This window comes from Homo sapiens, chromosome 20 (genome assembly GCF_000001405.40).
Source record: "Homo sapiens chromosome 20, GRCh38.p14 Primary Assembly".
In the NCBI taxonomy this organism is placed as follows: domain Eukaryota; kingdom Metazoa; phylum Chordata; class Mammalia; order Primates; family Hominidae; genus Homo; species Homo sapiens.
In genome coordinates this window covers 63,446,977-63,473,492 of record NC_000020.11, presented here as the reverse complement: position 1 = coordinate 63,473,492, position 26,516 = coordinate 63,446,977, and the positions used below count along the sequence as shown (strand labels likewise).

The 26,516-nt window shown below is 63.1% G+C and overlaps 1 protein-coding gene and 1 long non-coding RNA gene across 15 annotated transcripts in view, besides 6 other annotated features; one reads left to right on the top strand and one right to left on the bottom strand.

Moving 5' to 3' along the window:
* KCNQ2 (potassium voltage-gated channel subfamily Q member 2) overlaps nucleotides 838-26,516 on the top strand; it is a 72,448-nt gene continuing 46,769 nt past the window's right edge. For 12 of the 13 annotated variants that reach the window (NM_001439004.1, XM_047440144.1, NM_004518.6 and 9 more), the window contains exon 1: nucleotides 838-1,325. In NM_001439004.1, coding sequence (NP_001425933.1) covers nucleotides 1,030-1,325 — 296 coding nt within the window. In that variant the 5' untranslated portion in view covers nucleotides 838-1,029. Of the gene's footprint in view, nucleotides 1,326-14,181; nucleotides 14,498-26,516 lie in introns of those variants that run through there. The other variant, XM_017027843.2, reaches the window with a different exon arrangement.
* Nucleotides 3,009-3,739: an enhancer, noted in NCBI's record as "H3K27ac-H3K4me1 hESC enhancer chr20:62101107-62101837 (GRCh37/hg19 assembly coordinates)". NCBI's record gives its function as "activates a minimal SCP1, AML or CMV promoter by ChIP-STARR-seq in naive H9 embryonic stem cells {active_cell/tissue: H9 hESC(naive)}" and the evidence as "EXISTENCE:reporter gene assay evidence [ECO:0000049][PMID:30033119]".
* Nucleotides 3,740-4,472: an enhancer, noted in NCBI's record as "H3K27ac-H3K4me1 hESC enhancer chr20:62100374-62101106 (GRCh37/hg19 assembly coordinates)". NCBI's record gives its function as "activates a minimal SCP1, AML or CMV promoter by ChIP-STARR-seq in naive H9 embryonic stem cells {active_cell/tissue: H9 hESC(naive)}" and the evidence as "EXISTENCE:reporter gene assay evidence [ECO:0000049][PMID:30033119]".
* Nucleotides 11,850-12,050: a silencer, noted in NCBI's record as "peak4316 fragment used in MPRA reporter construct". NCBI's record gives its function as "represses an SCP1 promoter by STARR-seq MPRAs in K562 erythroleukemia cells {active_cell/tissue: K562}" and the evidence as "EXISTENCE:reporter gene assay evidence [ECO:0000049][PMID:32103011]".
* Nucleotides 16,120-17,043: an enhancer, noted in NCBI's record as "H3K27ac-H3K4me1 hESC enhancer chr20:62087803-62088726 (GRCh37/hg19 assembly coordinates)". NCBI's record gives its function as "activates a minimal SCP1, AML or CMV promoter by ChIP-STARR-seq in naive H9 embryonic stem cells {active_cell/tissue: H9 hESC(naive)}" and the evidence as "EXISTENCE:reporter gene assay evidence [ECO:0000049][PMID:30033119]".
* Nucleotides 17,294-18,157: an enhancer, noted in NCBI's record as "H3K27ac-H3K4me1 hESC enhancer chr20:62086689-62087552 (GRCh37/hg19 assembly coordinates)". NCBI's record gives its function as "activates a minimal SCP1, AML or CMV promoter by ChIP-STARR-seq in naive H9 embryonic stem cells {active_cell/tissue: H9 hESC(naive)}" and the evidence as "EXISTENCE:reporter gene assay evidence [ECO:0000049][PMID:30033119]".
* Nucleotides 18,158-19,021: an enhancer, noted in NCBI's record as "H3K27ac-H3K4me1 hESC enhancer chr20:62085825-62086688 (GRCh37/hg19 assembly coordinates)". NCBI's record gives its function as "activates a minimal SCP1, AML or CMV promoter by ChIP-STARR-seq in naive H9 embryonic stem cells {active_cell/tissue: H9 hESC(naive)}" and the evidence as "EXISTENCE:reporter gene assay evidence [ECO:0000049][PMID:30033119]".
* On the bottom strand, nucleotides 24,103-25,052 carry KCNQ2-AS1 (KCNQ2 antisense RNA 1). Of its 2 annotated transcripts, XR_007067714.1 has the most exons (3): nucleotides 24,923-25,052; nucleotides 24,301-24,432; nucleotides 24,103-24,193 (listed from the first exon to the last, which is right to left on the bottom strand). It is a non-coding gene; the product is annotated as a KCNQ2 antisense RNA 1 (long non-coding RNA). The 2 variants fall into 2 exon arrangements; XR_001754758.2 differs by having other exon boundaries at nucleotides 24,175-24,432.

The window sequence follows — 26,516 nt, the reverse complement described above, 5'->3', positions numbered from 1 at the left end:
CCCACCCCATGGCCCTTGCTCCTCTTCTTGCCTCCCGGCCTCTGTGGCCACCCCCTTTCCCCTGGGCTGCTTTCCTTGCAGGGTGCCTCCAGCCTCCACAGACCCTCCCTGCACACACCCTGGGGTCTAGGGGGTCCTACTGCCTGGGCAACCCTGACACCGAGAGCATGAGGTCACCATGGGCTGAGCCCTAACAGAGTCTTGGGGAGAGCCCCTACCCCCATCCCTTCCCGGAGGCGTCCACTCCCAGGGCCCAGCTGAGAAGACTCCAGTCCTGCTCAGGCGGCTGGGCACCGCTCTGGGACCCCAGGAGCGCTGGGGCCACCAGGCAGGTCCACTTGGTTAGTACTACCGGACTCAAAGGTGACCGCAGGGTCAGTGTGCACATGGCCGGGGGATTGGGCAGGCTCAGCCCAGAGCTCTGGTCCCGCGGGCCTTGGTCCCTTCTGCCTCCCCCTCCTCTCCCCCTGCCCTCCCCTCCCCCTCCCCCACTCCCCCTCCTCTCCCCCCTCCCCTCCCCCTCCACTCCTGTCTCCCCCCTCCACTCCTGTCTCCCCTCTCCCCGTCCCCGCCACTCTCCTCCCCTCCCATTCCCCTCTCCTCCCCTCCCCCTCCCCTCCTGTCTCCCCTCTCCCCGTCCCCTCTCCCTCCCCTCCCCTCCCTTTCCCTCTTCTCTCCTCCCCTCTCCTCTCCTTCCCCCCTCCCCTCCCCTCCCCGTCCCTCCCTCTCCCCTCCCTTCCCCTCCCTCTCTTCTCCTCCCCTCTCCTTCGACTGGCGTCGCGGGGGTTAACGCGGGGCGGGGCGAGGCGGCGGGCGGAGCCGGCGCGGCCGCGGGCCAGGCGCCGAGGTGCGCGCGGAGCGAGGTGGCCGCAGCGTCTCCGCGCGCGGCCCAAGCCCGGCAGGAGTGCGGAACCGCCGCCTCGGCCATGCGGCTCCCGGCCGGGGGGCCTGGGCTGGGGCCCGCGCCGCCCCCCGCGCTCCGCCCCCGCTGAGCCTGAGCCCGACCCGGGGCGCCTCCCGCCAGGCACCATGGTGCAGAAGTCGCGCAACGGCGGCGTATACCCCGGCCCGAGCGGGGAGAAGAAGCTGAAGGTGGGCTTCGTGGGGCTGGACCCCGGCGCGCCCGACTCCACCCGGGACGGGGCGCTGCTGATCGCCGGCTCCGAGGCCCCCAAGCGCGGCAGCATCCTCAGCAAACCTCGCGCGGGCGGCGCGGGCGCCGGGAAGCCCCCCAAGCGCAACGCCTTCTACCGCAAGCTGCAGAATTTCCTCTACAACGTGCTGGAGCGGCCGCGCGGCTGGGCGTTCATCTACCACGCCTACGTGTGAGTGGCCGGCGGGGCCCCCGTGGCGACCCCCATGGCGACCCCCATCGGCGACCCCATCGGCGACCCCGGCCAGGCTGGCTGCGGCGGGTTTGGCTCCCTGCCCCTGGGTCTGGGTCCGGGGCCGGCGCTCCCCGGCGGGAGTGCTGGGCCGAGACCGGAGAGCGATTGTACAGCGCGCGGGCAGGAAGGATTCCGGGGTCGGGGCCGCTCAGGTCGGGGTGGGGGCTCCAGGCCCGCAGGACAGAGACGTGCGGCCGCCCCAGCCCCCTCCTCAGCCTGGGAGGCCCCTCCCCGCGGCCTCTGCGCCGAACAAAGGGCCGGCCGGGGAGGGACGGCGGCAGCGCTGGGTCTGGACTCTCCGGGACTCTCGGGGACCCGCGGGGCTGGGGCCGCCCGACCAAGCGAGGGCGGGGGGGAGGGGTCTGGCCTGTCCTCCGCCATCCTCCCGAGCCGCTCTCCCTCAGACTAGGGTGAGCTTCTGGGTTCCTGAGATGGGGGAGGGGCCCTCCCATGACCCCCCCACCCCAGCCCGGGCTGAGCGCAGCTGTCTGTCCTGCCCCCTCGGCGCCGACGCCCCTCCCTGGCCCCGCGAACCCCCTCAGCTCCTGCGCTCAGCTCCTGCGCTGTCCCATCTCTGCAGCCGCCGGCCGCCCCCGTGCACATCCCGGGCTCAGGACCCCTCCTTGGCAGAGCGAGGCCCGGGGGAGGGGCTGCGGCAGACCTGGGACCCCCAGCCCTGGGCCTGGAAGGGGCTGTCCCCTCTTCCCGGGCGAGGCTCAGGGAACGGCTGCCTCCTGGGGCAGGGCTGGCGGGGGGCGGCCGAAGCCTGCGTCCGTGTGCACCTGGGTGTTCGCATGTGGAATTGCACGGCCCGCTGCGTGTGCGGCCTGTGCGGCCGGTGTGCACAGCCTCCCCGCGCCAGGGCGCTTGCTCTCCCATCCCAGCTGAACAAGGGACCCGCTGAGCTCCGGGACCGGCCATTTTGTGTGAGAGGCATTTTGGGATGGGAGTGAGGGGCAGACTGGTCACAAGCTGGTCGGGCGCCCACCTGGGCCGAGAGGGGTGTGTGCCCCACGAGTGTGCCCCAGCCTGCGTGTGGCCTTGAGTGTGCCCTTAGCAGACCCTCCGTGGACTGTGATATGAGAGGGTTCTGGGGTAGGGAGAAGATCCCAGAGGGAAATGCCAGGCCGCTTACAGGGAGGGTGTCTCCGTGGAGGGCCCCTGGGCACCCAGCCTGGGACTCCCCAAGCAGAAGCTTCTCCGACCTCCTGGGTCCTGGAAGCCCTGTGGCCCCCAGGAGGTGAGTCTAGCTTTTCCAGTCCAGGGTTCATTCCCGAATCCCCAGATGAGCTTCTGTGTTCTCAGGAATGGCCTCCCCTGATGGCCCCCACCTGGCTGGGGGCCAAAGGGGCTCTTGGTGGGCCGGTACTGGTCAGCCAGGTCCCTGCCCAAGGTGACTCCCCGGAGGAGGGTAGGATAGAACCCACCCCCACAACCCTCCTGCCCTGACAGCCTGGCCAGCGCCCCGCTCTGCGTCTGACCCAGGGTTGGTTCTGCTTTGAGTCCATGATCCAAGGGCCCAGCGTGGCTGTTCCTGAGGTTTCCCGTTGGGTCAGCAGCTCTCCGCATGGCCGCCCCCTGCCTGGGCCTGCGTGGGTCAGCCCCTCTGTCTCTCCTTCCTGTCTCTGCCTCCTGAGAGCAGCAGTCCAGAACTGGGGCAAAGCATGGGGACACTTGCACATGTGGGGTCTGAGCCGTCTCTTCCTGACCACCCCCAGTCCGGACGGGCCCCCTCTAAGATAGAGCAGCAGCATGCGGGGGCTTCAGGCGAGACCCTCAACGTCTGAACAGCCCCGCCTTCCAGCCTGCACTAGGCCTCTCCTCAGCTCCTTTGCTGTGGGCACGGAGCTCCCTGAACCTCCCTGAGCTCCCAGGCTCTCCTCAGCTCCTTTGCTGTGGGCAGGGGTGGCTTGGACTCAGGGAGGCGGCCCCTTTGGGAGGGGGATTTTTTCTAAGCGGCGGGGCTGGAGAGCAGGGTTTCTGGTCCTGCCTCGGGTTGGACACTGGGGGCTGGTCTCAGAACCTCTGCAAACCTCAGTTTTCCGTCGGTAACGTCGGCACAGCTGCTTCTCAACCCAGGGCTTTGTGAACACCACTGCTGGGGGGCATCACACTCTTCCAGGCCGGCCCAGTGCCCTCTGTGAAAGGGGATGTGGCTCAGCACTGCTGGTGCAGCTCACCGCCCGGCTCCCAGACCCCTGGTGTGGTGTTTGCTGCTGTCCCCGTGGCCCAGCCCATCCTTGGAGTGCAGCCCCCACCTCCACTTGGGAGGCCTGATGGCCCCATGTCCTCTGGCCCGGCATGGACTGGCCCGTGTGGCGTGTTAGGCAGCATTTGGTCTGTTTGTTCATCAGCTAAACGGAGACGGAGCTCAGTTGGGCCTGGGGCAGCCGGGAGTGGGGGGAAGGCCAGGGCTCCTTGTGCTGCCGCACCCAGCTGTGGCTGAATACAGGTCCCCAGGCCCACCTGCCTTTTGCCTATTGCCACCAGTGTCTGGCTTCGGAGAGGTCAAGTTGTGAGAACCTCTCTGGGCATCCCTGTTGGACCCGGGGTAGCCACTGTCTGGGGTAGAGAGGGCGGTGGCTGCTGCCCCATGGCCCCAGGGCTTGGTGGGCGTCAGGCCAGGCCCCTGCTGCCCCCGCTCTGGGGAGGTGGGGACGTCCAGCACTGAGTTAGAGAGGGACTTCATCCACTGTTGCTCCTCTGTGGGAGCCGTGGCCTCTGCTCGCACTGCCTGGGTGCTTTCCCAGAGGCTCTGGAGACAGGGCCTTCTCTGAGTTAGAAGGGCGTCAGACCTGCTCTCTGCCTGGTCGGGGCGGGGTGCTGGGCCACCTCTCCCAGACCTCCCAAAGGGAGTGTGAGCTGCAGAAATGGCCCGAACTAGCAGATGATGTGCCCCTGGGGCTGCCGCAGGGGACTCTGGGCCAGATCACCATGGGGGGCCCTTCGGAGCCTGAATCCCGGGCTCCAGCCTCTCTCCTGCAGCCCATCTGCGCATAGGACTGGAGCCGGGCACTGCTCCACCACGGAGTTGAACCTCCTCGTCCAGGATCCCCGCGTGGGTTGCTGGGTGTGGGAAAGGGAGCTCCGCTCTGTTCCCGCTGGGTGCGGACCTCAGTTACCGCTTAGTTACAGCCTGCCAGAGGGTCACGCAGCCTGGTTCCTGTGGATGGGGAAACTGAGGCAGAGGAAGGTTGAGTGAGCTCCAGAGTTGTCCTGCTTAACTGAAAGGGGGGGTCCCAGCCTGAGATGAGAGCTTGGGGGTGCAGATTGCTTGATCTTGCCAGCAGCCCAGCCACGTGGAGTGGCCAGAGTGAAGCTGTGTTTAAAATAGGCCAGATGGGAAATCTGGCACCGGGGAGGGCCTGTCCCTGGGGCTCGCTGTGCCATCCTGGCTTTTGCGCCAGGCCTCAGCTGGGGTCCAGGGTTTTAGGGGCCTCTGGCCCTGGGCTGCTTGACCAGGTGCTGTGTCCCATTTCACTGCAGGGAAGGGCCTGGGACGGAGGGCCTATGTTCAAGTCCCCCGGTGCCGGGGCCCAGGCGCTTCCCCTCACAGTCCTGGAGAACTCGGGTGGTGCTGAGCACAGGCCGCTGGGCCTCTTTCCCACCCCTTCATTCAGCTCTGGGGCTGGTGTGAGCCCTCGAAGGGCTGGCTGGGGTGGGCAGGCGCCTGGCACAGTGGTGGGGTTCAGACACTCTCTTCTTGGTCAGGCTGCTTTGAGGGGTGAGTGCAGGCCTGGGCTTTACCCAGCACAGAGCGGGGCCCTGGCAGGACCAGGGTCCAGTCTCTGCTGACGGAGCATTGTGTGCCGAGAAAGAGACTCGAGTGCTTGAACGGCCACATTCCCCTTCTTCCCACAGCCTCCTGTGTAGGAAATCTTATGGAAATTTCCCAAAAGGTGAAGAAGCCTCGGAGAGTTGTGGTTTCTGGGGAAACCTGGATTTCTCTGGTTCCTGGACCCCTTGGGAGGTCTCGGGCTTCCTCGCAGGATTTCTGCCCCTCACCAAATAATTTAAAGTGAAATTACTCTGGAGTGATAAGACATTGTACATGATGCTGCTTAGTTACACAGTGGAGTCAATCTCTGTGCACATTCTGTGTCTGTGAGAGGATAGGAGCTAAAGGATAAGCAGAAACTCTCCTCCTGACCATTCCACAGTGAGAGCAGAGAAAATCTGTTTTATTAGAAATCACTGCAAGCCAATCTCTGCAGAGACGCGGTCTCTCCAGAGGTGCCGGCGCCCTGGATATGGGCACTGCTGGGCACTAAGGATTCTCGGCCCCCAGGATGCTGACCACGTGGGAATCCTGTCTCCAGTTTTGAAAATGCTTAAATCCTGGAGTGTTTCAGAACTGGGGTCACTTCTCACGGCACAGGCTGAGTCCAGTGGTGGAGAGTGGCTTAACATAGTGATTTTCCCAGTTTGTTTTAGTCAATAAACAAATGAATCTATGGATCTCCGTTAGTCCCTGTGCTCCTGACACGTCCATGGCCCCTGTGTGCACACTCAGCAAGTCCGTCTGGCAGCTGCTCGCAAGAGCACGGGGCTAGCCTCTGCCCTGTAGGAGTGACATTCCATAGCCTCACAGGAGCTGGGCTAGCCTCAGCCCCATAGGAATGACATTCCACAGCCGTAGAGGAGCCAGGCTAGCCTCAGCCCTGTAGGAGTGACGTTCCATAGCTGCACAGGAGCCGGGCTAGCCTCAGCCCTGTAGGAATGACGTTCCGCAGCCGTAGAGGAGCCGTAGAGGAGCTGGGCCTGAAGCTGCTTCCAGTGTGGGGAGATGAATCTGCTACACAGAGTGGGTTCCCTCCTAGGAAAATGGGCAAGTCTGGAGGACCAAGGGGGACCTGTGGGGGCCTTGAATATGGGGAGAAGGGATATGGGATGGCCGAGCTGCCTTGCCCAGAGGCAGGGGAGGGGCAGCCTGTGCCCTGGGCCCTCCGAAGGTCCACTTGAGGTTTGACGGGAGGCTGGGGCCAGCGGCCAGGCCGTGTCCTGTTAAAGGCTCAGGCGGGAGCAATGTGCCCGTTTTGGGAGGATGGGGGGCAAGGATGGTGGGGTGATGCCTGCGATGTCCCCCGGGGGAGACCTTGGCCTTGTGTCCGACATCTTGTCATCACAGACAGAGCCCAAGCGTGTTACCTCACGGGGGGCTGTCTTAACTATTTTCCAGTGTGCATGCCAGGCAGCTCTGAGACGGGAAACTGCTCGTGTGTGCGCGGTCTGTGGACGCAGCCCCGCTCCCCTCTGTGCTTCCGCCCGTGTGAGACGTGCTCCTGTGTGGCCGTGACCTGTGAAGACCCTGCGTGACCCGTGGGGCGTGAGGCTCGGGGAGGGCAGGGCTGGGGCTCTGGCCGGGGGCGTCATCCTGAGACTGGCCAGCGTCGGGCTCCTAGACCCGAGTTTCCTTGTCTGCGTGGTGGGGGTAACCTGTCTGCATCTGTGTCACGTGATGGCCGCCGGGATTCAACGTGTGAGTCACTCCACACGATGCCTGATGCGTGCGATGTTCCCCAAGCTCGTAGCTGTCATCGCCGTGACCGTGAGGCTCCTTCAGCAGAGTGGAAGGCCTCACCCCGGACGGAGCGTGGAGGCCAGGAGGGAGGATGGCTGGCCGGTCCGGGACGGCGTCGCTCTGCCCCTCCGGCCGATTCTCAGTCCCATTGGTCAGCGGCTGGGCCGTGACGGAGAGGCCTGCGCTGCTGTTGAGGGCCAGGTCGTGGGTTGAAGTGCGGGGCCCGGGCTCGAGCGTCGGAAGCCTGCGGGGGTCGTGGGTTGAAGCGCGGGGCCCCGGCTCGAGCGTGGGAAGCCTGCGGGGGTCGTGGGTTGAAGCGCGGGGCCCGGGCTCGAGCGTGGGAAGCTTGCCTGTTTGTCGTGTGGGACCGGCCGCGGAGATGCCGGCTGTTCACTTGGAACGAAGGTGCCTGCCCTGTGTGTGCCGGGTAGTTTGGGGGATTGTCTTCCTGTTCGTGGCTTCCGGCGTGTTCCCAGCATCCTGAGGGTTGAGGCTTGGAGGACAGGAATGATCTTCGGCTTGAGAAACCACTGTGGGCAGGTTTTACCAGGGAACCCCTTAAGCTGTGAAAGAGCTGCAGTGCAAGCTTCTAGTTTCCACGCAGACCGCGCCAGAGAACCCGCCGGGCCGCCTCGGGACGGCAGCAGAGGACCCGCCGGGACGCCTCAGCACCGACACGCGCCCAGCCATGAGGCCGCCTTTAGCACGGAGCGTCGAGCGGAAACGGCGGTGCCCGGAACGCGGATGCCCTTTGCAGGGCTGGAGCTCAGCTCTGCCTTCCGACAACACTTGGCTGACAGCTCTGGGAGTCTCAAAACGGTGCCTTTGTGGAGGGGAGGGCCCTGGACATCCTCAGAGGAGGAAGCGCGTCCTGGGTAGGGTGGGCGGCACCTGTTCAACACGCCTAACAGATGCAAGGTCGAAGGAGGAGGGGCCTGCAGATCTGAGCTTGTCGCCGAGGAACTCTCTGGAAATGGCTCCCGCTGGCCCCTGCGTGCGACCCCTACGCTCACCAGCCCGTGTGCCGAGCTTTCTCTGTTGATTTCGGAGTGGGTTCTGGTTCCTGCCTCCCTAGTGGGCTCTGAGTGGCAGGGCCCTGCCGACCGCTGGCCTCAGCAGCGGGTGATGGAGTGTGGGCCCTGCAGGAGGAGGCTCTGTCCTTGATGGCTCCTGGGTGAGGGGGTGTGAGGGAGGCGGCCAGCACAAGGCGGGTGGGCCCTGAGAAGCCCCTCTGTTTCCCCTTTAGCCTGAGAAAGCTGTACCCACAGAGCTGGAGGAGGGAGTGGCTCAGGATGCTGCTTAGCAAATAGGTTGGTCTGGAGTCTGGGAAATGGAGGGTTAGACTTTTTGTTTTCTGAAGCTGGGATGGGTCGTGCTTTTAATTCGTCCAGGAGAACATGGGGCTGAAGAGCTCTCTGCTCTTGTGGCCCCTGATGGGAGTGCTCTGAGGTCTGGCAGGCCACAGAGCTGCTGGGACGGCCTCAGCCCCAAACCTGCGCCTGTCGCTTCCCGGGGCCAGGCCAGAGGTTTCCCAGTGAGAGCTTTGGGGTCGACATTTCCAGGAGGAGAAGGCACTTCTGAAATAGCGTGCCCTTGGTGAGCTTGTGTGGCTTTTCTTTCTCTGTAACCTGCTCTGAGTTGTCCCATTGAGTGTTCTGGGGATGTGGGCATCTGGAGCCTGTGGAGAGGACGGGACTGGGGGTGCGTGGGGGAGACGCCCCTGCCAAGGACAGGGGAGACCCCCTCAGTCCCACCTGGGAGAGTCTGTGCGCGGGGCTGTGGTTGATTGGCTGGCAAGTTTGAATGCGGATCAATGTGCCACTTGTTTCTAAGTCAGCAGGGCCCCTGCCCCCACACACTGAGTGGCTGGATTCTGGGAGCCTTTTCCTGTGGAGAGTGGAGCTGGAGTGTGGGGCGCAGGGCCATGGCCCTGTTCCAGCGTCGGGGAGCTAGTGTGCAGGTGCTTTCTCCTGTTAGCAGTGGGCCTGTGCTGTGCTCCCTGTGGGGTTAGGCGGCCCCGGTGGGAGCTTCAGTCTTGAAAGGGGCTCATAGCCCTGGGGTGCAGGCTGCTGTGCGTGGGGGGCATCACACGCAGGTCCCCAGGATGATGTGTGGTGGAGGACGGGGCGACGGGAGCTCTCCACAGAGCTTCATGTCCCTTCTGTTGTCTAAACCACAGACCCCGTGCCAGGTGAGGGGCTGGGGTGGGTGAGGCTAAGGTACCTGCCCCGAGGCCTCGGGGCACTTGGCGGCCCCTCCACCCCCACAGGAGACATCGGCTTGAGTGGAGAGGCCAGCCTCTGAGAAGGCTTCTCTCTGGCCACCAGCTGCCCAGAGCTCCCAGCCCAGGGCCAGCAGCTTGTGCTGGCCCCAGACAGGGGATGCTGGGCGGCCTCTCGCAGGGGGAGTGGTGGTTTTCAGACAGTGGCTGCCTCGCTTTGGGGATGAGGATGTTTTCCAGACGTGCTCTGGAACTGACATTAGGCTCTGCTGCCTACCCAGCTTGAACAAAATTAGGTCTTTCATTTTTTTGGGTTGCTGGGAATGGCTTTGTGGATGCATAGGAGAGCATGGTTGCTCCAGGAAGTCCGGCGGGGAGTGGGTTGAACAATCGGAGTCTCCCATCCCTGAATCATCTCAGTGGGGGCGGACGGGCAGCTCCTGGGGGTGTGGCAGGGGCTGGGCTCCAGGCTGCCCAGCCTGCAGGGAGCCTCCTTCTAGATTCTTCCTCTGTATCTGTGGCGTGGAGGCATCTGCTGCCTCTGTCTGCCCCCGCCTCATCCTCCAGGTCTTCTCTAGTTTTGTTCCTCCCCATGGAGCCCTTACCCGTGACGTAAGCTGAACACCTGAGAACTTTCGAGCTTGCTTTTCTGTTTAGGTTTGGAAAAAACATGAGAAGGGTGAGTGGGAGCAAAAGGCCAGTTTCTGCCTGGCTCCCTGTCCTGGGAGGAGGTGGGGAGAAGCCTCGGGCAGGGATGAGAGGTTGGGATGTCTGCCCTGAGGGGCTGTGGGCGGGAGGCCGGAGGCGCCTGGTTAATGTGTTTCTGCCCCTGTGTGCGGGTGCAGGGTTCTAAGCTGGGACTCAGGGTGCAGAGGGCACGTGTGTGGGACTTTAAAGTTTGTCATGGAGGCTGAGCCCTGGGGAAGGGCAGCAGCACTCGGCCGGCTGGGCTTCCTTCTCCTGGAGTAGGGTGGTCAGGGAGGCAGGGATATCGGGGAGCGCCACCCCAGGACGGAGCAGGAGGCAGCCTGGAGTCCCCTTTGTAGACCAGATAAGGCCAGGCAGGGCCTGATGTCCGTATTCTATTATTTATTTATTTTAAGTGTGGGGGTCTCGCTCTGTGGCCCAGGCTGAGTGCAGTGGTGTGATTGTAGCTCACTGCAGCCCAGAACTCCTGGGCCTGAGCGATCCTCCTGCCTTGACCTCCTGAGTAGCTGGGAGATGACCCCCTTCTTACCCGTTCTTCCAGAATAGGTCAAATTCACATGACATGTGCACACACACACACACACACACACACACACACAGAAAAGACACCCACGGAAACCCTGAAATATATAAAATGATGTCCAGCCAGTATGATTTGCCCCCTCTGCGCTGCCCCATCTCCGTACCGGGTCAGCCATGGCCCATCTCCTGGAGCCGTTCTCTGCATGCGTGCCACGGTACAGCATGTGTGTGTCTGTGTGTGTTCACTCACTTCTTTTCACATGTGTGGAGTCACTCCGTGTCCTGCCTTGTGCGTGTGGCCCCCTCTCCCTGCATGTCCCCCTCTAGGCTCCGTCGGGCGCTCACGACTTCTCTGACCGGTTTGCAGTGATGGACCTTGAAGCAGGTGCTAGGACTTTGCCGCTGCAAATGGTGCTGCGTGGGGCTCCATGCACATCTTCACGCAAGGTGCAGGTCGGCAGGATGAATTCCTAGAAGCTGCCTGGTGGCTGTAAAAATGTTCTCATCCCAAAGGACCAAATATGCAGAGAAGTTTAACACTCACTTTTCCTGTCATTGAAAAGTTACATTTTTGTGGAAACCCGTCCAGGCTGGAGACAGAAGGTGTGTGCAGGGAGAGGAGGCTCTGGGGCACCACTCTAGGCTGCCTGCTGCTCAGGTGGTTGATGTGGGGGCAGATGCCCTGTTCCTTGGGGTAGGTGCCACCTCCTCCCTGCTCCCTGGGGTAGGTGCATTTTCCTCCCTGCTGCCTGGGGTAGGTGCCGCCTCCTCCCTGCTCCCTGGGGTAGATGCAGCCTCCTCCCTGCTGCCTGGGGTAGGTGCCACCTCCTCCCTGCTGCCTGGGGTAGGTGCAGCCTCCTCCCTGCTGCCTGGGGTAGGTGCTGCCTCCTCCCTGCTGCCTGGGGTAGATGCAGCCTCCTCCCTGCTCCCTGGGGTAGATGCAGCCTCCTCCCTGCTCCCTGGGGTAGGTGCAGCCTCCTCCCTGCTGCCCCGGGGTAGGTGCAGCCTCTTCCCTGCTCCCTGGGGTGGGTGCAGCCTCTTCCCTGCTCCCTGGGGTGGGTGCAGCCTCCTCCCTGCTCCCTGGGGTAGATGCAGCCTCCTCCCTGCTGCCTGGGGTAGGTGCAGCCTCCTCCCTGCTGCCTGGGGTAGGTGCTGCCTCCTCCCTGCTGCCTGGGGTAGATGCAGCCTCCTCCCTGCTCCCTGGGGTAGGTGCAGCCTCCTCCCTGCTCCCTGGGGTAGGTGCAGCCTCCTCCCTGCTGCCCCGGGGTAGGTGCTGCCTCCTCCCTGCTGCCCCGGGGTAGGTGCAGCCTCTTCCCTGCTCCCTGGGGTGGGTGCAGCCTCTTCCCTGCTCCCTGGGGTAGGTGCAGCCTCCTCCCTGCTCCCTGGGGTAGGTGCAGCCTCCTGCCTGCTGCCCGGGGTAGGTACAGCCTCCTCCTCCCTGCTGCCCGGGGTAGGTGCAGCCTCCTCCTCCCTGCTGCCTGGGGTAGGTGATATTTCTGCCCTCCTACCTGATTAGGCTCTGGGGCCACTCTTGGGGATGGGGGAGGAGGGCCGGCCCCCGGGGTGCTGGCCATGGTCCTGACCAGGAGCTGCAGTTGCGGCTCCTCGTGGGCCAGAGGATCCCCTTGTGTGATTCTTGTTTGGCATCCGCCCAGGCCATAGAGTCAGGGGCTTGGCTCACCTCTGGGCAGCTATGGGGAAGGGGCTGGTGTTTGGGAGGTGCCCGAGGAATGATCGGTGGGGGGTGGCTGCTGGGGCAAGGTACACGACCGGCTTCTCTCCTTTACAATTAGCACTGAGCCAGCTTATCTGAGACCATCCCTTCCCACGGGTGCCATTTAATTAGCCAAGAGCTGAGTTAAGATCACGTGAAGAAAGTTGGGGGGGCCTTGGCCTGAGCGGCGGGTGGACAGGGCTGCGTCTGTCAGGGTGAGGGGGTCTGGCGGCCCCTGCCGCCCTCGTTTCTTAAATAAACGTTTGGTCGTGGCTTATTTTCTTCTGACTGCAAAGTAAGCACATCCACCGCAGGAGACTGGGAAAGCGTGGAAAACAGGGAAGGACGTTTGCTCTTCCTGGTTTCTTTCCAGGTGTCTGCGCCCGCCTGTGCGTTTCTAAACAGAATAGGATTCAGGCGGTCCCGTCCCGCTGTGGTGTTAACGGCATACTGTCCACACTTCTCATGGGCAAGATGAGTCTCGCGTGCCAGGTAGTTGGCTTGTCTCTGACCTGGGGCTGCCGCAGCACCTGTCCAGCCACCTGTGGACATGGATGACGGCAGAGTCCCTGTGTTGTGTGGTGTCCCTGCGTGGATGTCGACACCACAGCTGTCCTGGGGACGTGTCCACATGAGGCTTGGGGAATCCACATGTGTCCCATCCAGGGCTGTCCTGCAGGCCCCGGGTCTGCCTGAATGTGATTAGGTGATGAGGCCACCCTGGCCAGGAAGGCTGGTGAGGGGAGAGGGAGGACGCAGGCTGGCCCAGGAGGGGCTTGTGTTGGAACGAGATTCTTTCTGTGGGGTGAGCCCTCCGTCGCCGGAGGTGTGCAAGTGGAGGCCGAGAGAGAGCACTCACTAGGACGTTTGTAGGGGGCCAGGGACTGGAGCTGTGAGCCGTGGACCAGCTGAGGGCACTGGCCTGCTTGGGAGGGGGTTAGGCGTGGCTGTCTCAGGGGGCTGTGGGGGGGAAGGCCTGCTGGGAGCCTCGGTCAGGAGTGCCACTGTTGGGGTGCCCTCAGCACCTGAATGGGTTTCGGGTGGGGCTGACAGGCAGCTTGAGCCCATGAAGGGAGTGTGGGATGTCTCAGGAGGAGCCCCCTTGTTGAGGGTGGGGGGAGCCCCTCTCCACCCCAGCTCCCCTGGGACCTCATGAAGCCTTTGCTCCCCAAAGCTGCTAAGGGCTTGGGTAAGGCCAGGGAGGGACCTGCAGGGTCAGGAGCCCAGGCCAGGCCAAGCAGGGGTCCCCAAAGGTGCTGGGGATGGGGGTGTGCATGACAGGGAAGCTCCGGGGCTCGGGTTTGGGGAGGAGTAGGCTGGGCTGGGATGGGGACACTGGCCAGGGCCAGAGCCAAGCTTCAGCCACAGAAGAAGGGGCGATTCTACAGCTCACAAGGTCCCCGGGTGCCGTCTGCTTCCTGTAGTGTAAACGCACCTGTCCACATTCCAGCCTTCCTACCGAGACAACAGCACCATGGACTGGAGGAGTCTGGAGGGGACAAGGTGTGGTGAGTGTTAACTCTCCCCACCCAAAGCTATCCTATTCAGAGAGAAACTGAGGCACAGGTGGGTGGACACCCTAGGCACAGAGCCACTGATGGGCAGGCAGGTTACCTGTGTGCGCTTGCTGTCCCAGACCTTGACAACACGGTTTATTTTGTTTTTTAAAAATAGAGGTTAAATTATCCTAACATGCAGATAGCATTTTAAAGCGAGTAATTCAGAGGCGTTTAGAGTGGAGAATTTAGTGATGGTCTGCCGCCACCAGCCCTATTTGAAAACTTGTCACCCCATGTGGACACTCTTGCCCTCTGCCATCGTGTGCCCCACCCTGTCCCTGGCAGTTGCCGGTCTCCTGCCTGTCTCTGTGACGTGCCTGTTATTTTATTTTATTTAATTTATTTATTTTTGAGGCAGGGTCTCTTTTCGCCCAGGCTGGAGTGCAGTGTCTCAATCACAGCTCACTGCAGCCTGGACCTCCTGGACTCGAGCCATCCTCCAGCCTCCGTCTCCCGAGTCGCTGGGACTGCAGGTGCCCCACCACATCTGGCTAACTTAAATCATTTGTAGAGATGGGGTCTCATTGTGTTACCCAGGCTGGTCTCGAACTCCTAGGCCCAAGCTGTCCTCCTGCCTCGGCCTCGCCAAGCTCTGGGAGTACAGGCGTGGCCGCCGGGCCTGGCCTGTTTGCTTCGGATGTTTCGTGTAAGTGGAGTTGTCATCGTGGTGCCGTTTTGTGCCTGGCTTTCCTTGCCGAGCCTGCCCTCAGGTTCCTTCGTGTTTAGGGTACTCCTTCATCCTCTCCGTGTCTGGGGGCCGCTGCCTCGTCCTTCCTGTGGCCGCACGGACGGACCTCAGTTTATCTACCCACCCACCAACTGGATGTTGGGTTGCGTCTGCCGTGAGGCTGCTGTGGACACGCGGTGAGTGTCTCTGGACATTTCGTCATTCCTCTTGGGACGAAGCCTGCGTCACATGTGGCCAGGTGCCCTGGGTGGGCCGTGCCCTCCTCATCTCAGCCCCCCAGACCCACACAGGCCCCCTCCCGGAGCCCTCGCCTTGCTCTTCCCGCTGTGCGGAAGGTGGTGCAGTGACGCCTGAGTGTGGGCCCCAGGCCTAGCTGCCAGCCTGGGCTCTCGAGCAGGTTCAACTTGGCCAGGGCAGGGTCTTGGCTGCCGCCTGCCTGGATGTGGGGAGACGCCTCTGTGCAGGTTCTGGGCTGGGCACTTGGGGCCACTGTCTGAGCAGAGGATGTGGGGTCCTGCCTCCGGGAGGGCGAGCAGACCGCTGCTCTGGGGGGACAGTGCTCGGTCAGGCTCAGGGCCCTGGAGAGAATACACCAGGGAGACTTGGGGGCTGCCCGGGGAAGGGATGGTCGGGCAGCCTTTCAGAGAAAGTGACCTGAGATTGAAGCCTGGGGGATGAGGGGGCGGCTCTGGGACCTGCGGGTAGGAGAGGATTCCAGGCAGCAGGAAGTGCACGTGCAAAGGCCCTGGGGCAGGGACGGCGTTTGCCGAGGGCAGGAGGGGAGCAGGGTGGATGGGTCGCGTGGGGTCCACCATGAGGCACTGCAGCGGCCTCGAGGGCCAGGCCAGGGTGGGGTCTATCTTCAGGGCCTGGGGCTCGCCTATGCTGGCTGCCATTCCCACCCAGCTTCTCCACATGCTTCTGGGATCAAAGTGGCTGGTACAGGGGCGCTTCTCTGCGGGCTCAGTGGGTTGGGATGGGGCAGTGGAGAGTGGGTAGCCGGGGCATGCCGGGAGGAAGAGTAAAGTCCAGGGGACCCCAGGCCAGGGGCTGCGAGCCCAGGGAGGTTGCGGGGTCGGGGAGGGCGGGCCAGGACCTCTGCATGGGGCTGGGCTGGGCACTTTGGCCAGCCCTGCTTGGTGCACCGGCTGGGTCTCTGTCCAGCACCTGTGGTCTGGGTGGGACAGGTGACTAATGGAGAACAAATGAGCCCTGCGGAGCTTCCGTCTCCAGGGACCGTGAGCAGGCGCTGCGAAGTCACGAGGCAGTGCCCGGGGAGCTGATTTAACCACGTGCTGAGCCAGCGGGTTTCCTGCCAGGGCCTGGGAGTCTGCCCACAGCTGCAGCTCCCAGAGCCCCTGGGGTGCATGGCGGATGCCCCCTCTTTCTGGGCCGGGGCGAAGGCCCTGGAAGGACCTGTGGTTGCTGCAGCAATGCAGGGGGCTGGGGGTCCCTGTGGGCCTTGGGCGTCTGCTGCGGGAGTGGTTAGGGAGCAACGTGCAGGTGGGCAGGACCCCCGCCTCCAGCTCCTCCACTCCTGTTCCCGAGGGAGCCACAGCTGGCTGAAGGAAGTGGCCATCCTGGGGCCATGGTCAGTGTGGGGCATCGAGAGCCCCCTGAGAGCGCCTCCCTGCCCAGGATGTTGGAAGGAGGGCTGTAGGTGCCAGGTGGGTGCAGGCGGGCATAGGCAGGCCCAGGCCGTTTGGAGGCCGTGAGCATCAGGCTAGCAGCTGGGCCTTCTGAGGACCTGAGACTTCCTGACCTGTGTCCTGTCAGGGTCCAGTTGAGCACCCAGTGTTTGGGAGGCTCGGTCCCACCTGGGTCACCTCCCGTCCCTGCCCCATGGCCTTAGGCTCAGGTGGGTGCTGCCGGAAGCTCCGAATGAGGGTGGACCCTGGCCTGGCAGGTACAAGCCACGCAGTGCTCAGCATGAGGCGGCTCCACGCGAGAGGTCTCTGTGTGCAGCTCTGCAGGAGCGTGGCCCTTGTCCCCTCCAGCCCCGGCGGTCTGCAGTGATCCATCACGCTTGGTTCATGCCCGGTTCACGCCTGGACTCTGTCAGCGGCGCCCGCGCCCGTCACTTCTGAGGTGGGAGGTGGCGTGTGTCCTGGAAACAGAGCAGTTCATTAGATGGTGAAATTAGATTCCAGGTTGCAGCGTGGCGGCTGCCTAATGGACGAGGCGAGCGGGGCCCCCAGGGAGGCTCGAGCAGTCCTGGACCTGGTGCCCACTCCGGCCTCACGCTGGCTTTCTGCTCATCCCCGGGGCCCTGCTGGGCTCCCAGGTCCCCAGCCCCGGGGAGGTGCAGCCTCATCAGCATGGACATTGTTCTGGACAGGGAATTTCTGCCTAAGGAGGCTGCGTGGGACCCCCCAGGACCCCCTGCAGTGGGAGAGGGGTGCATGGTGGGGGCCGTGCAGCCAGCCAGCTCTGGCCAATCCGCACGTGGGCCTCTGAGAGTCTCCGGAGCCTCTGTTTTCCCGACTGTGAAATGGGCACGTGACTGTAGGGCTGCTTCCCTCCTGGCAGGTCATGGGTGTGCTGAGAAGCTTAGCCCGTGGAGTGGGAGTGGGGTCTTGATGTCAGGGGCCCCTCCTGACCCAACCCTGGCTCTGTCTGAGGCAGGGGCTGAGGGTGGCGGTGAGGTGGTGACGCCTTCCCTCCTGCCCGCCCATCCTTCACGTGTTCCGTTTTCATTTAACTAAATACGCAAGATGAGATGAACAGCCCTGGCCAACTTGGAGTCAGCCTCTGGGGAAGGGGCCTGACTGGAGGATCCAGAGTCGCAGAGCGAGGGGGCTGGCTGTGGGACTGACTCGGGGGGCCCAGACCCCTCCTGCGTCGAGTCCTCTTCCCCAAGTGCATGAAGCGAGTGAGGAGCGGGGTGGCGGCGTCTGTGTCATGCTTTCCCAGAAAAGAAATATCCCCTTCAACCAGAATGGGGAAGGAAGGCGGGGGAGACCTGGAAGCACAGGAGTCTCCCGGAGGTGGGGGGCCCATGAGCAGAGGGGTCTCCCGGAGGTGGGGGGCCTGTGGGCAGAGGGGCCTCCCGGAGGTGGGGGGCCCGTGGGCAGAGGGGCCTCCCGGAGGTGGGGGGCCCGTGAAGCAGAGGGGCCTCCCGGAGGTGGGGGGCCCGTGAGCAGAGGGGCCTCCCGGAGGTGGGGGGCCCGTGAAGCAGAGGGGCCTCCCGGAGGTGGGGGGCCCGTGAGCAGAGGGGCCTCCCGGAGGTGGGGGGCCCGTGAGCAGAGGGGCCTCCCGGAGGTGGGGGGCCCGTGAGCACAGGGGTCTCCCGGAGGTGGGGGGCCCGTGAGCAGAGGGGTCTCCCGGAGGTGGGGGGCCCGTGAGCAGAGGGGCCTCCCGGAGGTGGGGGGTCCGTGAGCACAGGGGTCTCCCGGAGGTGGGGGCCCCGTGAGTAGAGGAGTTTTTGCATCTCAAGGCCTGAGGGTGCCAGCGTGGGGGCCCCAGGACTGTGGTCCGGCCTTAACTGGGCGGTGGGGGCCCCAGGACTGTGGTCCGGCCTTAACTGGGCACCCCTCTGGCCTGGTGACCCTTTGGTCCCTCCCATGGGCCCCTCCCTGCCCCAACTTCTCCTCTTTGCACTTGGGTCCCAGGTCCCAGGAGGAGATCCCCCGCTGCTCCATGCTCAGTCTGTGACTGCATTCGGGGTGCCTGATCCCCGCCATGGCCTCTCTTGTGATCTGGGGCTGTCTGATGGGCACGGGGCTGGGCTGTGCGTCAGGGACGTGCGGTGAGCCCCAGCCGACGCCCGCGGTCCAGGTGTCCCCCTGCCCCTCTGCTCAGTGGTGGGTGCCAGGGCTCTGTGGATCCTCCCTGCCCCCACCTTGACTCTTTGCCTGAATCTGGGGCTGGGGACCAGCTACTTGCCTTATCTCCTTGGCAACGGCTGCCAGGGAAGCTCCGGAAGTTGAACCCATTATCATAATTAGCTTCGAAACCCTTTGTGTTGTAATTCTGGGCTGCAGAGAAGCTGCTCGGTCCTCCCATCGTCCTCCCAGCGTCCTCCCACCGTCCTCCCATCCTCCCATCGTCTTCCCGCCGTCCTCCCCTCATCCTCCCCCATTCTCCCGTAGGAAGTCTCTTCTTTCTTTTCCTGCAGACTTGGCCGCTGCCTGGGCAGGAGGGGGCGGGCAGCCCTTGCCGAGCCAGCGAGACCTCAGCTGAGTGCCCCGTGGTGGGCTGTGTCCCCCAGCTTAGTGCAGGAGGGGCTGTACCCACACTGTGGGCCTGGGTCTGAGGTGGTGATGGCCCCGTCCCGAGAGGCCTCTGGCAGCTGGCCCTCAGGGAGTGTCCCACATTTGGACGCTCGTCGTGCCTGGGACCCTGAGGCCACATGGGCAGGGAGTGTGTCCCAGTGTTCCCGGGGAGCCTCCTCTCCCGAGGCCTGGGGGATGCCATCAGGGGTCTCCTGCCGCCCTCTCCCTCCCCTGGTTCAGAGGCAGAGGCCCTCACCTGCCTCAGTGAGCCTCAGTTTCCCCTTCTCTAAGATGGGCATGAGTGTGGATGTCTTGGGGACACCACGGTTTGTAGGCGGAGGCCTGGAAGCCCCTGTGTCTTCCCCACGGTTCGGCCGACCGGATGGCTGGCCAGTGCGTTTGGGAACTATCCGCAGTTTGGAGGTTTCTTCCCTGGTCTGTCCTGGGGCCTGGAGCCACGGCCGAGGCACCGGGATCTTTGCGTCCCCCAGACGGGCCCAGACGCACCCCGTGCCGCCTCCTCCCTCCTCCAAGGCTCTTCTCGCACGTCCGTCTCTCTGCCTCCCCTGCACCGGCCGCCCCCGGCAGCGCCATCTGTGCCATCTGTTCCAAAAACTTAAAAAACAAAAGTCGGAGCTGTTGCCTGCACTTTCCGGGTGGGGCTGTGGCAGGAGGGGCAGCGGCGGGAGGGGCAGCTGCTTCCTTCATGCAGGGTCTGCGGGCCGGCGAGGCGGGGGCAGATGGGCGGAAGCTGAGCTGGAAGGAGCTGGAGCCTTCTGAGGGCCTGGCTGCGAGATTCATCTCCCTGAATTCTGGCTTTATTCCTCCTGGTCCACGCCTGCTGGGAGGAGCCACAGATCTCGGCCGCATCCGGCTGCATTCTGTCTCCAGGGTTTCTGGAATGCTCTGAGATGCCTGGTCGGAGCCACCTTAGGAAGCAGGCTGAGTCCTGAACATTTGGGACCTGGGCCTCGTTTTTTTTAGTTTAGAGGAAGGTTCCCTGCAGCCCGAGGAGCTGCCTTCCTGGATGCGGCACTGAGGACTCAGAATTCAAGTCTGTGGGGCTGTCGTTGTCCCCACCCCGCCCTGTTCTCAAGTCTGGTCAGCCTCATCCTCGGTGGGATGCAGATACGCCTGCCCTTCTCTCGCCAGGCCTCCCCAGCGGCTCCTCCCTCTGCTGGGAATGCCCTTCCCCTTCTCCCCCTGTGGCCAACTCCTCTGTATCCTGTAGCCCCCCCGCCCCTGTACACGCCTCCTCCGGGAAGCCCACAGGATTATGTGCGTGGCTCTGCTGGGCTGAGCTGGGTCCCTGAGCCCCTCCTGTGATGTGTGATGCCCTCTGTGTCCCCGCGGCGCCCCTCCTGCCTCCCAAGCCTCTGGGCTCCTGACTGGGAAGCCAGGGACCCCCGCGTCCTCCCCTGCTCCTACCCCGCTGAGAGTTCAGAGAAAACCCCGTTAGGCAGACAGAGGATCGCCCGCAGAAGGCGCACGAGATGTCTGCGCATTTTTCCCAGGGCTCAGTTAATTGAAGAACTTGGCCAACGAGCACAGGAAATTAATCGCGGCTTGGAAATGGGACGTCCCTTGCGTATGGTTTGTCTGCCTGGGCCTCGGCACCACTGCCAGCGCCCCTGCCTGGAGCCGGGAGCTTCGGGGTCCTGGCGGAGGCCTCTGGGTCGCACACGTGGGCGGGGCCGAGTGCCCCCTGGCGACGGTGCCTCAGGGCCAGTGCCTTCGAGCTGGAAGCCGTGGGCCTGTGGCGGCGGGCGGAGGACTGGTGTCTCCTGGGGTGCCCGACACAGGGCCTTCCTGGTGCTGCTGTGCCGACGTCCACCGCGGGGCGGCAGCTGGATAGGGCAGGACCTGGCTGTGGCTTGTGGTCTTGGGGGTGGCGGGGAGGGGTGCAGCGTGGGGCAGGCTCTGGCTCTTGGACCCACCCGGCCTCCACACGCGGTGCTGCGCTTTGAGCTTCTCACTAGGCCCTGGACCCTCCCCTCAGCCTGCAGGGACTATTCTTCCTGGAAGCCCCCGCCCCAACCCCTGCCCCTGCAGCTGGAGCTCCGGCTGGCGCGTCGTCCCGGGCTGAGGCATTCTGGCTGGCCTGTGTGGAGGCTCCCAGTTCCCACGAGGAGGGTCCCGGTGGGGCCTCTCTCTGTGGCTGCAGGCCAGCTGGTGGGGTCCTGGGCAGGTGTGTGGCCTGGACCTGCCCTGGAGCCGAGCTGCCGGCGAGAGACCTGGCTCTCCCCACCACTGTCCTTCAGCATCAGTCAGGGTGTTCTGTGCCTGCACCGCTGAATCAGCCCGTTCCTGCTGCAGTCCCAGGCCTCTGGCCGAGGCCCCTGTGTCCTCTCCCAGCCCGTGATGCCCACTGTATGCATACACTCTGTATACACGCAGCTGCGCCATGGTGCCCGGCTGGTGGCCACGCACCTGCCTCGACGCTGCTGTGCAGGTGTTTTTCGGCATGAACACTTAGCTCAGCGGACTTCAAGTGAAGCTAGTGACCCTCTGCCGTGGGGGTGGGCGTCGTCCCAGCAGCTGAGGCCTTGAGAGCAAAGACTGAGGTTTCCGGAAGAAAAAGGATTTTCCTCAAGACCGCAACATGGAAGTCGTGCTGAGTTTCCAGCCTGCTGCCCTCAGCTCAGAGGCAGGCACTGGATTACAGCTTCTCAATGGCATGGAGCTGGGACGTCCTCGGGGTGTACGTGGGTAGAATCTGAACTTGGGCTCACGCTAGAGATGCTGACAGTTTTCACATGAGACGCTTTAAAATGTGGCTTTGGCCCCTGCGCCTTCATCTTTGGTTTGGGTGCTGGGCCAGAGCCTTCACAGGCACAGTTTCTGCCGCCGCTGCCTGTGGCTGAGCAGTGCCAGGCCTCAGTTGGCTCTGGTGCTGGAATGGGCAGTTGGTGGGGCTGACCTTGGCCGGGCCGCCTGTGCCCGAAGCCTCCACCTCTGCTTCAGACTGTGTGGTCCCGGGTGCTTCTGAAGCACGGCCGTGGTCCTTCCCGGGGCAGATCTTGGGAGGACCACCCTGTGCCCCGCCTTCCCTGCCCTGGACGCCCTGGGCCGTGCAGCAGAGGCCGCTGCTGGGGAGTCGGAAGGTGGAGCTATGGGGACTGCGCCTGCCCAGGCCAGAGGACTCAGGCTGCCTGGACTTGGGGGTCTCCAGCGAGTGGGAGGGGGGCTGCAGGGGGCCATGCTGGCCTCCCCACATCCAGAGGGTGTTCAGTGGGGAGATGACTGGGTCCGGGCAGAGGGAAGCCGTGGGGGTGTCCGTCGTGAATCGAGCCTGGAACAGCATGGCCACCCTCTTGTTCTTGGCTGAAGGGAGCTTGCCCAAGTCCCCAGGTCCTGGAGGCACTTTGCACACAGGATGGGCTTGACACGAGGTCCACGCGGGTTTGTGTCTTTCCACAGGGTCAGGCTTTTATTGATGCTGTTTCAATCACAAAAGCCACGAGCTACGTGGAGTCCCCAAGCAGGCAGGTTCTCCCTAGAGCTTCTGGGTCATGCTGCGGTCACGGCCACTCCATGTTGGTCAGTGTTGCAGACCGTATATTGCCGTGTGCTCATCTGGTCAAATTCCACTTTCCACCCAAAGCCAGGTTTAACATCATGAGGAAAAAGACACAAGACAGAGGGTTAATACCAGCCCAGAGGCCTGGCCTGGGCTGCTGCAGGTGACTGTGAGACAGCGGCGGTGAAGACAGAGGCCTCCAGGGAGAACTGAGCACGGAGGACTGGCTTGTGTGTGTCCTTATCTGGTTGGACTTGGTCTTCATTTTTTTGTTTGTTTGTTTCTTTTTTTTTTTTTTTTGGGACAGAGTCTTGCTCTATTGCCTAGGCTGGAGTGCAGTGGCATGGTCTCGGCTCACTGCAGCCTCCGCCTCCTGGGTTCAAGCGATTCTTCTGCCTCAGCCTTCCAAGTAGCTGGGATTACAGACCTGCGCCACCATGCCTGGCTAATTTTTGTATTTTTAGTAGAGACAGAGTTTCACCATATTGGCCAGGCTGGTTTCGAACTCCTGATCTCAAGTGATCTGCCCGCCTCGGCCTCCTCCCGAAGTGCTGATGCGTGAGCCGCCATGCATGGCCAGGTTTTCTTCTTTTTTGCTTTTTGGTTTTTAAACAGACATCTTATCCTTCTTGGTAGAGTGCCCTGTGAGACAAAATGGAGTCTTTTCCTAAGATGGAGTTAGTTATGCCAAGGGCTCTCTGCACAGGTCTGCCCTCCCCTGCTTCCAAGCCCCCGCAGCCTCGGCTCCACAGACGCTGCTCTGCCAGCTCTCACCTGGGCGCCTGCCACTCTTGTTCAACCTTGACCCCACCTTGACCCTGTGTGACCTCTGCGCTAGGGATCTCCTGGCTTCCCCCACCCCCAGCAGGTCTTCCCCCACCCCCAGCAGTCTTCCCCCACCCCCCAGCAGGTCTTCTGGGGCTCTGCCCCCAGGGGTGACTGCAGCGCCCAGTGCTGCCTCAGGGAGTCCTGGCCCTTGCATGGGGCAGCCACAGCGTCCCACACCTGGGGCAGCCCCAGGGCCCTGGGAGCGGGGGCAGGCATCAGTGCTGCCTTATTCCTGGAAGCCTAAAGCCACTTGGGGAGGGAGATCCAGCCCTGACCTCATGTGTGGTGGCCTTGCTGGGCCTCTGCGGCCGCCCTCGTCCGGCACGTGTGCTGGGCCGTGACCTCTGGAAGAGCAGCCAGGGTTTCGTCTAGGTCCCTCCGGAGCAGTGGGAAGAGGGTTTGGGGCACTTCGTCCCTTTGGGTGAGGGAGGGGTGGGGGAGGAGTGGTGGTGGAGGTGAGGGGCCTGTAAGTGAGGGACGGGGTGAGGCGGGGTGAGGGGCCTGTAAGTGAGGGAGGGGGTGAGGCGGGGTGAGGGGCCTGCAGGGGCAGAGGCAGTGAGCTCGTGTGGTGGCGGGCGGGTTCCAGGGGCGCAGGCAGCGCAGGGTTGTGTGCTGGGTGTGGGTGCTGGTGATGGCACTGATGGTGCGGGACGGGGTCTGCTCTGAGTGCTGTGTGTCAGATGTGGGCCCAATTACGTGCTCCAATTGCTGCCACCACCCAGTGGGCTGGTCCTGGTTTGGGGGCTCAGAGCCTGAGCCTGGGGTGATGGGGGCCCCGGGTTTGTGCCCGGATGGCCTGGCCCTGTCCTTCTGCCTCCGCGGCCAAAAGTCTGAGAAGTCTCCCTGCAGGCCGCAGACACTGGGGCTTCCCTCTTCCCTCTTCTCCCAGGAGCTCAGACGCTGGGGCTTTTCCCTCTTCTCCCGGGCTGTGGAGCTCGGCCTTTGGTGAGTCCCTCCTCTCTCTGCGGTGCTCCCCAGGGGCTCTCCCACAAGACAGTGAAGCCGTGAGCAGAGTGGGGTCCTCTTCCCACCAGGCACCACAGCCAATGCTGACCTCTGCTCCCCAAACCCTCCAGACCCTCCAGGCACTGCGGCCAACGCTGACCTGTGCTCACTAAATAGCTCCGCACATCGAGGACTTGTTTTTTCCTTTTTGATCCGTGGCAGCTTGTGTCACAGCCGCGTGGCTTGTCTGCCCAGGGAGGAGCTGTGGGTCAGAGTAGCATGTGGCCACAGCATGGTGGAGTCAGGCGTGGGCTCGCAGCAGGGACACACCGATGTCAGCTGCTCATAGCGTGAAAGGTCATGGTCTTTTATTTGCAAGGGGCAGAAAACAAATGCAAAGGGTTGTAAGGAATGGGCTTACATAACCTGGAAGTCCAAGGGGCTTCAGGCACAGCTGGATCCAGGTGCTCACATTATGTGTCTTAAGGCCTCTTCTCCCATCCTTCTGTGCTGCCTTCCTCATGACCTCATCTTCAGGCAGGTTTTCCTGTGCCCACCCGTCCTCCTGCCAGTGCCCCAGGCCTGCCTCCTCCTAGTTGGCAACCTTTGTGGGAAGGGGGTGTCTTATTCCTGGTAGTTCCAGCAGAGATTCTGGGGCCACCACTCGCTGGCCGTGGTTGGCCAGCCTCGATCCCATGAGCATCCCTGCACCCCCAGACTGGAAAGGAAATTGCAAGGCTGAGACAGGAGGGGTGGGTCTAGACAGGTGCTGTGATGCTCCGAAGCTCCAATGATGAGGGGGCGTGACCAGTCTGGAGAGACTCCCCCCCAGGATGCCCATGCCTGTGGCCAGTGCCCCGGCCCAGCAGGTCAGGGGTGGGCGTATCCGGGCTGGAGGGACTTCCCCCAGGATGCCCGTGCCTGTGCCCAGTCTCGGCCCTGCAGGTCGGGGCATCCAGGGAATATTTCCTCTGTGGGAGTGGGGAGAGGGGAGCGGGGACACTGCCCGGAACCCAGGCTGGACTGCAGCACTGCTTTGGGGACAGAGGGAAGGAGATCCTGAGTGTGGGGAATCTCCCTCCCTTGACACCCACCTGGATGTGGGCGCCGGGGAAGGGCTCGGGTTTGAGACACAGGAGGGCCCCACAGGCTCCGTGGCGGTCGTGTGGTGCCGCAGGGTGTGCAAGGTGATGGCGAGTGTGAAGACAGTACAGGGGCGCGGACACGGGGAAGCGGCTGCTCTGTGGCTCCGTCCCCGCCGGCTCCTGGTTCTGAGCACGGTTGGAACGAGAGGCAGCAACACGGTCAAGGTGAAGGCGTCTCTCACATTGCCTGGAATGAGGGCGTGTCCCACGCATGGCCTCCTTTATGGCTGTGACGAAGGACCTGGACGTTGGACACGTCCCCTTCACATCCCAGAACACCTGCGAAAAATGTAAATGAGACAAAGCATTTGCTTCCTGCGAAGTGGGTTTCTCTCTGGTGTGCATTCAGTGACTTCAGCACGCGGGAGTTGGCTTTCCTGCCAAAGCGGCAGCTTGAGGCTCTGGGTTGCACAGCTTTGCTCCCAGGAAGAGCTGGGAGATCTTCTATGTCTCTTCTATGTGGGTGGCCTTGTTGCAGCCACAAGCCGGGTTCCCGCGGCAGGGTCTTCGGGGGCTAGCGGGCTCCTCCTGTCTGCAGCTTCCTGGGGTGGGCAAGGGAGCAAGTGTAGCAGAGTCGCTTGTATCAGAGGAGAATGCAGGGCTGAGAAAAAGTCACGCATTTGGGCCGAGCATGGTAGCTCATGACTGTAATCCCAGCCCTTTGGGGGGCCGAGGCGGGAGCATCACTTGAGCCCAGGTGTTCGAGACTAGCCTGGCCAATGTGATGAAACCCCATCTCCACTAAAAAAATACAAAAATTAGCCTGGTGTGGTGGCACATGCCTGTAATCCCAGCAACTCTGGAGGCTGAGGCGGGAGAATTGCTTGAACCCGGGAGGCGGAGGTTGCAGCGAGCCAAGATCACGCCATTGCACTCCAGCCTGCGCGACAAGTGAAACTGTATCTCAAAACAAAACAAAACAAACAAAAACAAAAATACCCACATGCATTTGGGGGAATTTTGGTGGGGTGTGAACTTGAGCATCTGAGGGGAAATTGAAGAAGGATCAGTGAGTGAGGTAATCGCGTGGGACGTGAATGGGAAGAGCAATCATGGTGGAAGTCACTGGCGGGAGGAGGTGCCTGCAACCCGGGAGGAAGGAGAAACGGAGCCTCCTGGCAGCCAGGACGAGGCTGGAAAGAAGGTGATCCGAGGAGCTCCTGTTGCTTGGCTCCGGGTTTAACTGGCAGAGAGAAGCCCTCTGCGTTGGGGTCTGGAGGAGGTGGCCGAGAGTGAGGAGAGGGGAAGGCTGATCGGTGCCTTCTGCCCCAGGGGTTTTGCTTGTTCCTGTGTTTGTAGCAGTTGATGGGCAGGCCTTGCTGTTCCCATTTGACTGAGAGTTTTGGAGACGTTGCCAAAGGATGAGGCTGCCAGGCTGAAACCAGACAGAAGGGGCAGGGGCCAGAGTGGAGAGGGGGGTGCGTCCTGGAGGGGGCAGCTGCGCATAGAGGGGGCAGCTGCCACTGTGGAGTTCAGGGTCCCGGGAGGTGGCTATGGGGGTGCCCTCTGGCCCGAGCGAGCTCTGGTGGGGTGGGTGGGGAGT